Source organism: Homo sapiens, chromosome 3 (assembly GCF_000001405.40).
Source record: "Homo sapiens chromosome 3, GRCh38.p14 Primary Assembly".
NCBI classification, from domain to species: domain Eukaryota; kingdom Metazoa; phylum Chordata; class Mammalia; order Primates; family Hominidae; genus Homo; species Homo sapiens.
This window is the reverse complement of record NC_000003.12, coordinates 188,507,862-188,523,719: the sequence shown is the minus strand read 5'-3', so window position 1 is coordinate 188,523,719 and position 15,858 is coordinate 188,507,862. Positions and strand designations below refer to the sequence as shown.

The 15,858-nt window shown below is 39.1% G+C and overlaps 1 protein-coding gene across 57 annotated transcripts in view; it reads right to left on the bottom strand.

Annotated features, from left to right (window-relative positions):
- The window catches only part of LPP (LIM domain containing preferred translocation partner in lipoma), a 737,651-nt gene that overhangs the window by 366,952 nt on the left and 354,841 nt on the right, over positions 1-15,858 (bottom strand). The window lies entirely within an intron of this gene.

Sequence of the window (15,858 nt, the reverse complement as noted above, 5' to 3'; positions counted from 1 at the left end):
CTAATCAATTCTACTGGACTTGTCTAAGGACGTAAAATATCAAGAGAGTATCTAGTGTCTGCAAAAGAGTTTAGAAAAAGCATTAACCAACCAAGAAACTAGAATATCTTCAGTAACAACAACAAGTAGCGTGCCATGACAGGCTAGCACTAAATCTTATAACCCTTGAAGTCAATCTGTCGTTTTAGTGAATATGTTGAAGCAAGCGTAAAGGGTAATGGCCTGTGAAGACCACTAGTTCCGTATGCCCTAGTAGCTTACTCACCAAACCACCTTACCTGAGTCTTGGAGCTTATTTAACTATCTGTGTAAAAGAAACATAAAGGGATCTGGTGTTTTGGTCATTCTTTTGGGAACTTAGTCAGCTTGAGTTAATCCTTCCTGGGCCTGATTTCTCTCAAGCACAGTAACATCAACTGTCTATGAAGTTGTGGCCCAGGTCCTTGGAGCCAAACCTACTTCAAGAGGCAGTTGGCTTCCTTGTTTGTGAGCCCTCTTTAAACATGGATTTCAGGACGGGCGCGGTGGCTCATGCCTGTAATCTCAGCAGGTTTCGAGGCCAAGGCGGGTGGATTATCTGAGGCCAGGAGTTCAAGACCAGCCTGGCCAACATGGTGAAACCCGTCTCCACTAAAAATACAAAAATTAGCTGGGTGTGGTGGCAGGCCCCTGTAATCCCAGATACTTGGGAGGCTGAGGCAGGAGAATAGCTTGAGCCCTAGAGGCGGAGGTTGCAGTGAGCCAAGATCGTACCACTGCACTCCAGCCTACATGACAGAGCGAGACTCTGTCTCAAACATACATACATATATGTATATACACACACACACACACATATATGTCTCAAACATATATATATACACACATACACACACGTACACACACATACACACACACATACACATATATATATATATATATATATATATATATATTTCATATTATCACATTATCTAAAACAGCCACCTTATGATTTTCTCCTTCTGGATGTATTATTATGACCCCTCTACATCACGTCATGTTATTCCCCTACCCTTTTAAATCCATTTTTAAATAATATCTGCCACCATGTGTATTTTTCTGTTTATTTTCAGTCTCTCCCCTAGAACATATAAGCTTCATGAGAAGCTTTGTCTGTTTTGTTCCTGTTTCCTTGGACTCTCTTTCAAGACCTAGCCCAAATAAGTGTTCAGTAAGTATTTTTGAATAAATAAATCAGTGAATAATGACAGACTGTGACACAGGCAGTAACCTTTCTCATAGCACTATCTTTTGGGTAAACACAGTTAGAAGTACAACAATAAGCAGTGGATACTCTAGAATTTGATATAAAAACGGAACCAAAGAGGTTCAGTGTCCATCTGTGTGTGCACACACACGCTCACACTGGTAACTATGTGTGTATCATCAAGCTGGACGGCCCAGATTTGAAGGCTAGCCTTGTGAAATTGATAGATTTTCTTCAACTCTCTTGTCATAGCCAAAAATAGAAAAAGAGTGACATGACAGGTTGGTTGAAATTTAGACTTTTCTGAGTCTGAATTTCCAGTCTGATTAAACTGTTTAAGGCCAGCAGGTCTGTATACTGGAAACAGATGTTTTCAAGGTGCTAATCCCTCTATCAGAGGAGATTTCATGTTTATATCAAAGGGCAGTAATAACTATGAAACACTGTGGTATTATTAAGAAAAATTCCATTTAACATTTAAAATTCATGTGAACATTCTGGGTAATGGGGGTCCTGGTACAAGGAAAGACAGGACATTATTGTTTTGGAATGCAACTAAAAACTGAGTAAAGTTGATCCTCTTGTGCGCAGATATAAAATATTATAGTAGACATAAATTTGGTAAGTGTATTTCCACATACTCTTAGATAGTCCAATATATTGGCAAGGGTGGTAGAGTGTTGTCTGCTTAAATCTTTCCCTGGGCCATAGTTTTCTCATCTATAAAATGAAGAGAATATCACATGTTCTATCTAAGCCAGGGTGATGTTATAAGATTTAGATAAGAAAATGGATGGGAAAATACTCTGTAAGTTGTAAAGTGCTATAATTATGATGATTTTCCTAAATAGCATTAATTATAGCAACCAGTAACTATAAATTAATATGAATAATATAGCTATTGTTAATTATTCTTCTTCTTGAGGGAAGCATCATTCATTAAGTGTTCCCTTGGGGTATTAGTAAAGAGACAGGATTTAATCAGGTCTTCTACATCTGTACTTTACTGAAGCAGAAAGTACATCAACTGACTATGCCTGAAGTCACTGCAATATCTAACCACTGAGACTCAACAAGTCACAGAATTACCCTGAACTACACAATAAAACAAGTAATTATGATATGCAACCAGTCTGTGCTTGTAAGACATCAATTAGTTTCCAGGGTCCTTATTCTCCCTACCCTCTAAGTTCAGACTGCTCCCTATTTTCAGTTTCTCAAATTAGGTTGATGCAATTTATCACAAGTTCCAGTCTAATGCTGTGTGATTTTGCACAAAAACTGGATAACAGGGGAGCGTGGGGTGAGAGGGGAGAAGATTGTGCAAATACTATAGTAGCTTTACTCCTACATTTCAATTCCATTATGAATTAGAATAGGCCTTTTTTTCACTCTTGAGTCTCAATTTTATATCTCAGTTCAAATAACTGTTGTCCTGCCCAAGTCCTGCCACGAATCTGTAGATATTCATTTACCTTTCGATTTAGGGGATCTTGCTACTCTCAATCCCTTATAGTAGATACCAGGATCCAAAGTCCTATAACCAAGCAACAGAATCCTATAGACTTACCAACATGTCTTTCTCCTAACTCCCTATCTTTGTAGCTGTGCTAGTTACCTGACTGGTAAATGACCTTCCCAATGCCAGCAACAAGGAAGATTCTCCTGACTAATGCTTTTTCTAGTTACCACCACAAACTTTTATAAAGTAGTTAATGTAATTATAACAATCCCCACACTCTTTAACCATCACTAGAGAGATTTCAAAGATTACATCGTCTTAGTCTGTGTTCTGCCAAGAAAAACAATGCCTGTGAGAAAAGCTCGCATGTTGGCCATTTATTTTGGGAATCAATTCTGAGAAACAGTACTGAGGGACTAGAAGGAGTTAAGCAGAGAAGGAAGGAGATATGGTTTGGCTGAGTCTCCACCCAAATTTCATCTTGAATTGTAGTTCTCATAATCCCCATGTGTTGTGGGCAGGACCGTGTGGGAGATAATTGAATCACGGGGGCATTTTCCCCTATACTGTTCTCCTGGTTGTGAATAAGTCTCACAAGTCTCAGAAGTTAAATGGTTGCAGAGAAGGCCCGGCACAGAAAGTGAGTGAAAGGTGTTGCAGTTGAAGCCAAGTGCTACCAGGTCACACCTGTGCAGAGCTGATCGCTGTAGCAGCTGCTGGTACACGAAGGTGGGAGGGGAAGATGCGAGGTGGGGCACCAAAGGTGTCTACTGACAGCGTCCCTTTACCAAGGACCACAAAAATCCTATGAATAAACCATTCGAACATGTTATTTTTATATTTATTTTTATGCATTATCTGAATACATATGTGATAAAAAGCTCACCAAACCACAGTTGGGACTTATTATGACTTGACAAATCATAATAAGTGCTGCCAGCAGAATTATAGGATGATGACTCCCCCACTGTAAGTACATAAAGACAGTCCAATAAATAGCCCAGAACCAAAATGTACAGCGTGTGAATGAAATGAACTTAGGCCATTATCAAGAGTCTGATTTTGAATGGGTCATATTTCAGGCCAACTATCACTAACCCACTAACTACAGGTGATAGACGAGGAGTACCAGCAATTGGTTATGAAAGAGCATTCATTTGTATTTATTTACTTTTTCATTCTTTATATCCAAAAAATTTAAATTCACAGAGAAGTTGAACAACTATTAAAATAAACTCCACTCACCCATCCTTCACCCAGATTCATCAGTGGCCACCATTTCATCACACTAGCTTTCTGTCTACATAAATTAGATTTGCTGTTGCAATTGAACCATCTGTAAGATGTTGCAAAACCACCCCCCGACATCCCCCATATGCACCTCAGTTTGCATCTCCTAAGAATTTCTAATTTTTTCAAAACCATTCTCACACTGGAGAAATTTAACATAGAAACAGTATTATCTAATATCACCCATACTCACATTTCACTAGTGGTGCCAGTAGTGTTCTTTTATCTACTGTTAATTTTCACCCCAAATCCAAGGATCACATCATAAAATGATATGTCTTTTTATTCTCTTTTAATTTAGAACAGGCTCCTAGCTGATTTTTGATTTTTATAAAGCCAACTTTTAAAATAATTCTGGTCAGGTGTCTTATAAAAAGTCCAACCAATCTGGTTTTTCTTGATGACTGGATTCAGATTAAATAAGTCAGGCAGGAATATCACATGCGTGAGGCCACATCCCTTCTGCTGCATCCCATCAGGAAGCTCAAGGGTCAGTTTGGCCCATGCTTGGTGATGCTGAGTTTGATGACTCGATTAAGGTAGTGTGTACCAGATTTCACCATTTTAAGCATGACTGCATGATTTTTAAATTAAAAATAATCTGTGAGGTGATATTTTGGGGCACTGTGAGTATTCTACTAGTCAAAAACCTTTCACCCACCCAGTGGTTTTAGTGTCCATAGATGATCTTTGCCTGAACTAACTATGGCCTTAATGATTGTGAAACGGGATGAAAATAAACATATCTTGCCTAATACGTTAACGATTTATTTGTTCAGTATTCATTTCGGTTTCAAGGTAGGGGAGCAGGACTAACTGAAAAGTCCTGTGCTATGAAAAAAAAATCAGAAACTTAATCATCAAGTAAAAACTGTTACATAGGAAAATCTTATCCAGGATATTAAAGGAAACAAAAGGCCAAGGGGAATGGTCTATTTAATTAAGAAACAGTCTCCACCCTTGGATGTTTATATACTAGAATTAGATCCAATGCCCAGCGTCATACTCAAAACATACATGACCATGAACTAATCTTCAACAACCTTCAGAATCTCTGAGGTAGACAACCATACTGACACATTATAGATTGTGAGTTCAAAAAGCCGGAATTTGAATGTGACTGCTCAATTACAGACCTGAGAAAGTAACCACATAATCCTATTTTTTTCAACTGTGCTTCACAGAGCTCAAGGAATGTCTTACCACTGATCCCATATGGAAAACAAAGAGGTTCCCAGACCCTACCCAAGCTTGAGCTTCCTTTTGTGATTAATTAGAAAAGCTTTCCCTGATAACTTAGGAATATAAAACTGTCTTAATTTAGTAAAACCTAAGAGGCTAATAATACAAAAATTACATTGTGTTTACATACAACTTTTCTTTTCAATGGTAGTTTCATTTAAATTTAATAATACAACAGGAATTTCACTGTATTTTTTTTCTATTATGGTCAGTAATGTTTATTACTCTCTTCTTTCTAATATCAGTGGGGGAAAATGGTGATAACTAAAGGAATTTTGAAAGTGTGTGCTTTTTAAGTAACAAAACACACTATGTTTGTTAGTCTGTTTTGCATTGCTATAATGCAAAACTTGAAGCTGGGTAATTTATAAAGAGAAGAGGTTTATTTGGCTCATGGTTCCGCAGGCTGTACAGGAAGCATGGAGCTGCCTTCTGCTTCTGGTGAGGGCCTCAGAAAGCGTTTACTCATGGAGGAAGGTAATGGGAGGCAGCATGTCATATGGTGAGAGAGAGCGGAAGAGAGAGCGAGGAGAGGTGCTATACTCTTTTAAACAATCAGCTGTCCTATGAACTAACAGAGAATTCACTCTGTATGACCAGTACCATGGGGAGGTCACTGATACAGTTTTGCTCTGTGTCCCTATCCAAATCTCATCTTAAATTGTACTCCCATAACTCCCCATGTTATGGGAAGGAACAAGGGGGAGATAATTTGAATCTTGGGGGCAGTTTCCTCCATACTGTTCTCATGGTAGTGAAAAAGTTTCACGAGATCTGATGGTTTTATCAGGGGTTTCTGCTTTGCATCACCCTCATTTTCTCTTACCACCGCCATGTAAGAAGTGCCCTTCACCTCCTACCATGATTCTGAGGCCTCCCCAGCCATGTGGAACTATAAGTCCAATTAAACCTCTTTTTCTTCCCAGATTCGGGGATGTCTTTATTAGTAGTGTGAAAACAGACTCATACAGGCACCAAGCCATTCATGAGGGACCTAAATACCTCCCACTAGGCCACATCTAAATATTGGGGATTAAATTTCAACATGAGATTTGGAGGGGACAGATATCCAAACTATTTCTATCTAGTTTCTCTTGAAAGTGTAATCATTTTGTTGTAAGTTAGATCAATCTTTTTTCCATCATCTGTCTTTGATGAAATTGGGGAAACAATCAATATTTATTTGTCTATAATCATTTGTATTAAGTAATTTCCTCAAAGTATCCCTAATAAAAAAGAATACTGGTGAAAGCTTTGGAGTCAGGCTGTAATACCTGTATCTCCCAATTGCTGGCTTTGTGACCTTCAACAATTCACCTGAGCTCTCGGGTCCCTCATGCAGTTGTAAAAATTAAATAGGTTTATGCATGTCAAGTAATATTCACATAATAAGCATTCAATAAATGCTAGCTATTTAATTGTTACTTTGACAATAGTCTCAAAATAAATGCTTCTGTTAATAGTCAGGCAATTGAGTATGTGACTTTATAAAGTACTTTGATCAAAAGTAAAACTAAGTTACTGAGAGGCTTCAGTAGATGGGGCTTCTATGCATCTGAACATGTGTAAGGGTGCCAGGAATTAACCATAAAGAACACAATCCTAGATCAGTGTTTTTCAAACATTAGCCTATACAGAACCACCAGGAGGACTTATTAAACCTTAGATTACCAGGCTGTACCTGCCACAGTTTCTTATCTGTACATCTTGGGTGAGGCCCAAGAACTTACATTTCTACCAAGTTCGTAGGTGCTAGTGATGGCGCTGGTATGGGGATGTTCTCAACATCCCCAGTGATGGTGCTGGTCTGAGTCATTCTCAAAGTGAGGTGTTCTCACTTTGAGAATGACTTTTCTAAGTGGATTTCTAACACAATGAACATTTAAGTGTGTGGGGCAGGGGGAGTAAGGGTGGGTACTGAGTGAATTTATAGTTTATTTCCCTTAAAAACAACCTATATTATGTCATATATATGGTTAATGATGCCATGAAAATACCAATTGACACACCAAATAATAGCTAAGAGGTATTTGGATAAAAATAAAAATGAAGACAGTAACATTTCTATTTAATATAATCTCTCATGCTGTATAGTAATATGAGCAGCCTCACCAAACGGATCCTGGTAATGTTCAGTGGACACAGGCCGTATTCAGTAGTGAGAATTGCAGAAAATATGATCTATTTTATCTAATAGAAATATCATTTTATGGAAAGAGATACAAACTGTTGTAAGTTAGGGAAAAAATGAATGCATTCCTATTGGGATGTGTATCCTCTTTCCCAGTCATTCAGTTGAAGTGTTTAGCTTTCCAAAAACCTTACCTATCTATCTCCCCAAATGTACCCTTCTCCAGGGGAGGAGGACTTACAAATAACCCACTAACTTGATAACTGACTCCTCTTTGTCTAATTTTCCATGACACCAATGTTCATAGGGTAACTCTCATGATGGATTTGAGTGGATGGCTTTTCTCCCATGCTGCTCTAGAAAATAGTTTATGCTAAGTAGTATGCAGTGTAAAAAAGCCATGATACCCAACCTTGAGGAGTTTATATATATGTATTCTACTGAAAAATATCACTTGCACTTTTGCCTAGAGATATCAAATTCACTATGTTATTTGATACTCTTTGTAAAACTATGTGGAAGAGACACAAATTTAAAAACAAAAACAGTCCCCTTCCCTAAAATCCTTCTTATCTAATGGCCAACAGAAATACAATTCAACTTTTCTAATATGCAAAACCAGGCCTAAACTCAAGTCTTATTAATATCCGAGAAGGACATCTTCTCCACATGTTAAAGGCAGTGGGAAAAGTTGTCGCAAAAGCTGTCTTGGGAGCAAACACTAGAGCATTCATAAGGGGGAATACATTTCCATAATCTGAAGTGCAATACTGGCTTGACAACTGAGAACACAGCATTAAATAAACAAGAAATAAGGTAACAACAGAAGACAAGAGTTTTTCATGATAAAGCACAAAAACGTTACATTAGGCCATTTTTGCATCACTATAGAACAATAGCTGAGGCTGGGTAATTTATAAAGAAAAGAGGTTAAATTGGCTCATGACTATGCAGGCTATATAAGAAGCATGGTGTCAATATCCAGACAGTTTCTGATGAGAGCCTCAGGAAGCTTATAATCATGAATGAAGGCAACAGGGAGCTACCATGTCATATGGCGAGAGGAGGAACAAGGCTTGGGGAGAGGTACCACACTCTCTAAACAACCAGATCTCGTGTGAACCCAGAGGAAGAACTCACTCATTACCAAGGGGATGGCACTAAACCCCCATAAGAGATTCACCTCTGTGATCGAGTATCTCCCATTAGGCCCCACTTCAAACACTGGAGATCACATTCTGACATGATTTGGAGGGAAAAAGCATCCAAGCCGTATCAAACGTCAACATAGAACATAAATGCTACGCTTGATAAATGCTTGAATTTTTTTTCCTCACAATTTACATTATTTCATCCTTTTCAGCCCTAACACACTCACCCAGTGTTAGCAATGTTTGGCCAACCCAAATCTCCTTTAAAGGAAATGGTCCTGCCCCCATTCTTTGTTGCCAAAACAGCCATGTTTTCAACCATGCGACTCCATTTCAGAACACTGAGGCCCACAGAACCAAGGGTCCATAAATAGGCTGGTGAACCTAACTTTTGGACAGTGACAAGGAGATTAGATGGGCAAATAAATCTCCTTCTCTTATGCGTTTGGACTGAAAAACATGTAACAAAACTGCCGCCAGGCACGGTGGCTCATGCATGTAATCCCAACACCTTGGGAGGCTGAGGCGGGAGGATCACCTGAGGTCAGGAGTTCAAGACCAGCCTGGCCAACATGGCGAAACGCCATCTCTACTAAAAATACAAAATTTAGCTGGGCGTGGTGGTGGGTAACCGTAATCCCAGCTACTTGGGAGGCTGGAGGCAGAAAAATTACTTGAACCCACCCGGGAGGTAGAGGTTGCAGTGAGCCAAGATCTTACCACTGCACTCCAGCCTGGGCAACAAGAGTGAAACTCAAAAAATAAAAAAAAAAATAAAATAAAAAATAAAAAATTGCCACAGGGATGAGCTATGGCTGTGATCAACCAAAAAGATGATGTACATGGTTAATTATTAACAATCCAAACATACAACAGGAGGTAGGAAGTCTATCATTGGGTGGAGGAAAACAATGAACAAGCGAACACTAGAGAAGCAGAGGAATGGAGAGGAGAGGAAAAGAGGAAGGGAGAGAGGGAAAAAAAACAATGAGAAGAAAAATAGATGGAAGAGTTCAGCCACAGATCTGCCCTGACCCTGAGCTTCCTGATATCAGATCTCATTCAGATCCATCCTTAAGATAAACTCCATGATTCAGCGCTACTCCAGGGGGCCTCTGTTTCACACAATCAGCCCTACTGAAGCAGCCTAAACAAGACCAAGTCCCGCTGATATTATCAAGCAGTTTCTTTGACTTTCTGGAACTCAACTTTTACCTCTACAAAAATGAGGGTATGCACCTTCCAGGTCGTTTTCTATTTTTTTAACCTCTAATACTGCATAGATCTATAATGACATTTCACAACTTGCCTGTCACTATCTTTGCTGTTCAAAAGCCATCAGACTAAACCCGTAAGAGTTAGGCCAACTCCGAGTTTAAGCCAACTCTTTTATAAGTAAGGGCAGGGTCATGGTTAAAGTGATCTGAACTTGGGTATACACAAGTAGCCTCACTGTTCACTGTTCTATTCAAATAAGAAAGCAAAACTAAATATGCAACAAAAACCCCTCACTTTTCACAATATTTACCTACTCGTTGAATGATTTCTACTGAATTCCAATCCTTATAAAATAAAAATAATATAAATAATATATTTTTAAAGTAACCCCTTACAATTAAAATAAAGGTCAATTTGCATAGATAATAATAAGGAACAATACATATATTATCTATTCATCAATAAAACAGGAACTCTAAGAATAATCACAATAAGATGAACTATTTGACAGTAAAATAGATATTTGGCACCCCCTTTTTAAGCAGCAGATCCCCTGGTAAAATGAAATCAGACACGGAAACCCATTGTATGAAACATATACAGACAGAGCTGCTTTATCCCCCATCTCCTTTAGTAATATTTCCTGAAGCAATTCTAAGAAATTAATAGTTTAAAAACCACTGCTACAGATTATCTAGGCAAGCTGTGCCATCCTAGAGCGTCACCTTACCAGTTAGTCCACACACACAGTTTAGCAAACTCTAAATGAACTGTCTTTTCTGAACTCTGTGTTTGTGCATAAAAGGGAAATACATTTATTTGAAATTTCTACATTGAAATACCTATAAAGATATCCATAAGATCATCTAGGATCATGGATATTTTTCCAGGAATCCTTTGCATAACAAAATAACATGAAATAATAAAATTGGTAGACAGAAGTTTTTAGAGGTAGGGGAGAAAAGGTTTACTTTTACATTAAGAAAACTTTCATATGTGGTGAGGGGGCTGGAGATGTGCAACAATTGTGTGGATTTATGAATCAAACAGAACTTGTCAGGTAATTTTGCTATTGATTTTGTTTTTTAAAACCTCAAGGAAGACATGTTTCTTATTTTTCATTTTGGTAACACAGGCTTAATAAGCTCAGGCATGATACATTTCAAAAGCCACTTTCTCACATTCCCCAAAATTCAAATAGTTAGAAATGTGATGTTAACTTTATACATTAGCTCATCATTTTCAAGTATTTTTTTTCTTGAACTCTTGTTTGACCCCTTAAATGTTACCAAAATTGGAAACCATAAAAAAGTATTCAATTCCCATGTCCCATATTCCATATCATGTACTCAGAGATATAAAGCAAAGCGTCATGCCATGGAAACGTACAGAGGGTGGGAACTTTATTTATTTATTTATTTATTTATTTATTTATTTATAGACCGGGTTTTGCTCTTGTTGCCCAGACTAGAGCGCAATGGCACTCACTGCAACCTTGGCTCATTGAAACCTCCGTCTCCCAGGTTCAAGCAATTCTCCTGCCTAAGCCTCCCGAGTAGCTAGGATTACAAGTGCGTGCCAACACGCCTGGCTAATTTTGTATTTTTAGATGGGGTTTCATCATGTTAGCCAGGCCGGTCTCGAACTCCTGACCTCAGGCGATCCACCCGCCTAGGCCTCCCAAAGTGCTGGGATTACAGGTGTGAGCCACCATGTCTGGCCGAGAATTTTCTTCAAACATTTGTGGTTCTGATTCTATATGTTAAATACCATTGATGAGGATGTGCAGATAAAAGATGTTTGAACAACTGCAAGAGAATCATTTATAGTTGATAAGCATAGAAAATGGAAATAAGGCTCATAAAATATTAGAACTAGAAGGGGAATTTACGTCGCTATTCCATCATTTTCATTTAAAGATAATACAATTCCCCCAAAAAGGTAAGGTAGTTTGTATAGTGAAGGGGCTGAAGTAGGACTAAAACTTTAACACCTCCCACTGTGAAACATCTTTTCCAAAACGACATCTCGTACATTTCAACTGATCTTCTTAAGAACATATAAAACAGGAAATATCCTACAAGCCAGCAATATTACTAGGCAGCTACCCAGTCCACTGCACACAGCCTGGGACATAGTCACTACTGGGAAAACAAGAGGGAAAATATCATAGCTCCCTCTGTACGGCCATTATCACAGAGAAGTGCTCAGGTTTAGAAAAGCATTTTCATATATACGATCTCATCGAGCTATTCCAGCAATCCTAGAGATTAGTAGATGTTATTATTCCTGTTTTCAAAAGAGGATAGCCCAAGGATCAGAGAGAAAAAGAGAACTTTCTAGGGTTACTCGGGCAGTAAATGGAAGAATTGGAATTTGGAAATCAAACATTTTGCTCCAAAGCTCTAGCACTTTGCATGACATTAGGAAGAAAACACAAAAGGTGAAAGGTCTTCCCTTCTAACACCAAGCAGAGATTATATGGGCCTATTAGATTACCAAAAATTAGGTCATGGCTACAATTACAATTGAAAAGCCAAGCTCTAATACCCTTTTTTGCCATCTACTTCTCCATTTAGGATAGGTTTCATTCACTTTCCTATAAATATTTTTCAAATATTCAAGACACACTGATATGAAGTTCAGGCAAGAGGGACAAGGGAGGGAGGGAGGGAGAGAGGGGAGGGAGGAAGGCAGGGAGGGAAGGAAGGGAGGGAAGGGAGGGAAAGGAAGGAGGGAAGGGAGGGAAGGGAGTGAGGGAGGGAGGAAGGGAGGAAGGAAGGGAGGAAGGGAGGGAAGGAGGGAGGGAGAGAGTCAGGTAGAAAGGAAGGAGGGAGGGAGGGAGGCAGGTAGGAAGAAAGGAGGGAAGCAGGTAGGAAGGAAGGAGGAAGGAGGGAGGGAGGGAGGGGGGCAGGGAGGGAAGAAAGAAAGGAAAGGAGGGAGAGGGAGAAGGAAGGGGAGGGAGGGAAAGAGAATGGATCAGGGGTTCTCTGCCAAGAGCTTACAGTTGCATTGAAGAAACTAGTTTATCCACAAATGTCCATATTAGAAGGCAGACTACATGTAGGTAAGACACACAAGATGTTCGAGAAAAAAGCAAAATGAGAGAGAGGAAAGAGAGAAAGTAGCTGAATAGAGAAATCAGAGAGAGCTATATGGCGACAGAATTGAGAAGGCCTTAAATGGAGAACAAGTATTTAACATATTTACAACATGAGCATAAAGATATAGAAGGAACTCTGCAATGTGCAAGTGTACTTGGCAAACACGAGTGTTCTTTAAGGTAAAAATAGAGTAAGAGCAGACTCAAAGGGTCAGCTGTGGTCAGACAATGCAGGTGTGCAAACCAAGGCATATAAGGAGATTGGCTCTTACCCAAGGTGCTGATATCTAAAGGATAAACACATTCCCCATGACGAAGGAGAGAGTGGGCAGGGGTAATTGTATCTTGGGACTTAGTGTTGATGTGGGAACAAACACATGGTATGAATCACACATATTTCAGGCTGAGCACAGACAATTTATATTAAAACACTCCCAGCAGAAATTCCTATTTTTAGGAAAAAGGTTGCCATTGATAAAAAGTGAGTGAGAGACCGTATCAGAAAGCTACTGATTTCACCTTAATCAGAAATGAACGTGATTCCACAGCACAACAAACAAGGGTTATTGGAGCACGTACACATTTCTGCCTTAGACCCAGGGAATACAATGCAACAGACTGCTATGACAAGACTTTTACTTTGCTAGGTGGAGGCTGAAGAAAGTCTAAAGGAGGCAAGGAATAATGTCGTCTCAAGCTTCACTATTCTTGTCTCAACTTAAAAATCATTTCTATACCCCAGAATTCTGCTCATGTCTCATTTCAGGCTTTCTTATGAAATGTTCCTTTTTTCAAAAAATATTCAGAGTCAAATAATAATCAAATGTCTACTATTTACTCAGTGACAGTTTAGTACCTCGTATTAAAGAAATGAGACAGGCCCGGTGCAGTGGCTCACGCCTCTAATCCCAGCACTTTGGGAGGCCAAGGCAGGCGGATCACAAGGTCAGAAGTTTGAGACCAGCCTGGCCAACATGGTGAAACCCCATCTCTACTAAAGATGCAAAAAAAAAAAAAAAAACAACAAAAAAAAAATTAGCCAGGCATGGTGGCACACAACTGTAATCCCAGCTACTTGGGAAGCTGAAACAGGAGAATCGCTTGAACCCAGGAGGCGGAGTTTGCAGTGAGCCGAGATCATGCCATTGCACTCCAGCCTGGGCGACAGAGTGAGACTCAAAAAAAAAAAAAGAAAAGAGAGAGAGAGAGGAAGGAAGGAAGGAAGGAAGGAAGGAAGGAAGGAAGGAAGGAAGGAAGGAAGGAAGGAAGGGGACAAAAAAAAATGAAAAGTTGAATTACTCACTTCCAACTTTCCTTTTCACCTCTCCCTTGTTCCAATGTGAATGTTTTTCTTTATGGGACGGGTCCACTTAAGCCGAGTTTACAGTCTCTACTGTCAACTGCAAACTCTGTCAGTGCCAAAAAGAATCCCACCTGTTGTTCAAACTTAAAGTAAAATATATGCCTAACCAGGTTAAGATAGAAAGGATTAAACTGGATGTGATGTTTGACCAAGTCGTATACTCTTAGTTTTAGTGTCTTCTTATGAAATAAGGGAGCAATAATACCAACCCCACAGGGATATTTTGGAGACCAGGTGAAATAAGGTAGTAGAAATCATGTGTCCACTAGAATGCTAAGCATACGGTAAGTCTTCTGCACATGTTTTCTGGTGGTATGTTGTGTATAAAAGAGGATTACAGGATTATACTTGGTGTGTTATAAGAGAATTTGCAGCTATTAAATAAAAAGCCCTTGGTCTCAGGTGAAGCTAGATTTTGGTGGCCAAAGATACGTCCTAAAATAAGAAAATACTGGAGTTTTGAAAGGAAGCTAGCAACCTTTGAGGACAGAAGCACCTTCGATATCCATGAACATAAGATTTTCCTAAGCCCCCTCCTAGATTTACCAAATCTAAACCTTTGAAGGCAGGGCCTAATAATTGGCATTTAACAAACCCATCGGCCTCACCCCAATTCTTGTCCATGCTAAATTTGAAATCTGCTGGCCTAGAATTTGGTTGCCAGTTGCTAATCCAAGTGCTAACAATAACTGGAACAATTTAATTAAAATCCCACAACTCTGAACACATTAAAGAATTCTTTACTAATGTATTCTAACCCAATTCCAGGGGACAAGGAAAATACTTTTCTCTCATTCGACAGTTTCTGTGTTCTCACCCGCAGTGCCAACAGAGAAAACACAATCTACTTCACTTCTCCTCATCTGTCGAAATGGCAAAGACGTTTACCACCTCGAAGGAGTGCGAGTTTCCATTTACTGGTGTTAATAAAGTCTTCTGAGTGTTCTCATAAATCAACTATAAGTTGGCATTATTCATAGCACCCTGTTGGAGCTTAATACATATTCAATTAAAAAACAATGACAACAATACAGCAATATCCACAAATTAGCATTAATTATAGCAATGCATTATTCTCACCCTACTGCTACAATTTTGTCTAGGCAGAGCTGTTTATGTCTGGAGACTGTATAGTCCCTTTCATTAACAAAGGGCAATATTTGCTCATTGGTATCAACATTTCCTCTAGTAACATTCACATCACACCTGCTTCAAAGTCCTCATTTTTTTCCAAAGGATTCTTCCATTTGCCACATACTAGGACAGGAAGGATATGTATTCTCCCTGAAGAAAGTCACAATCCTGCCAAGCATCCTGGACTCTTCTCTTTCCCATAAGCCCCCTCTTTCCAAATTGCTTTTGATTCTTGTTCCCCTTCTCCATGGTCATGGCCACCACCTTGGTTAAGGTCCTTGTCTGCCTCAATGGACCCCTGAAGGTGACTCCAAGACACTCTGTCATCACCATTTCTGATCACTTGAGTACCACTATGTTATAGCAATCCATCTAAATACAGATCAAATCATTTTATTTACTAGCATAAAAGGCTCTTTATCGTGTCCTAATGATATAGCCTTAGATTGGAAAAATCTCCCAAATGCCATCACAACTATTAAAGAAAAATTATTTATTTGAATTGGGGGAGTAGCTATAAAGCAGTCAGGGAAACT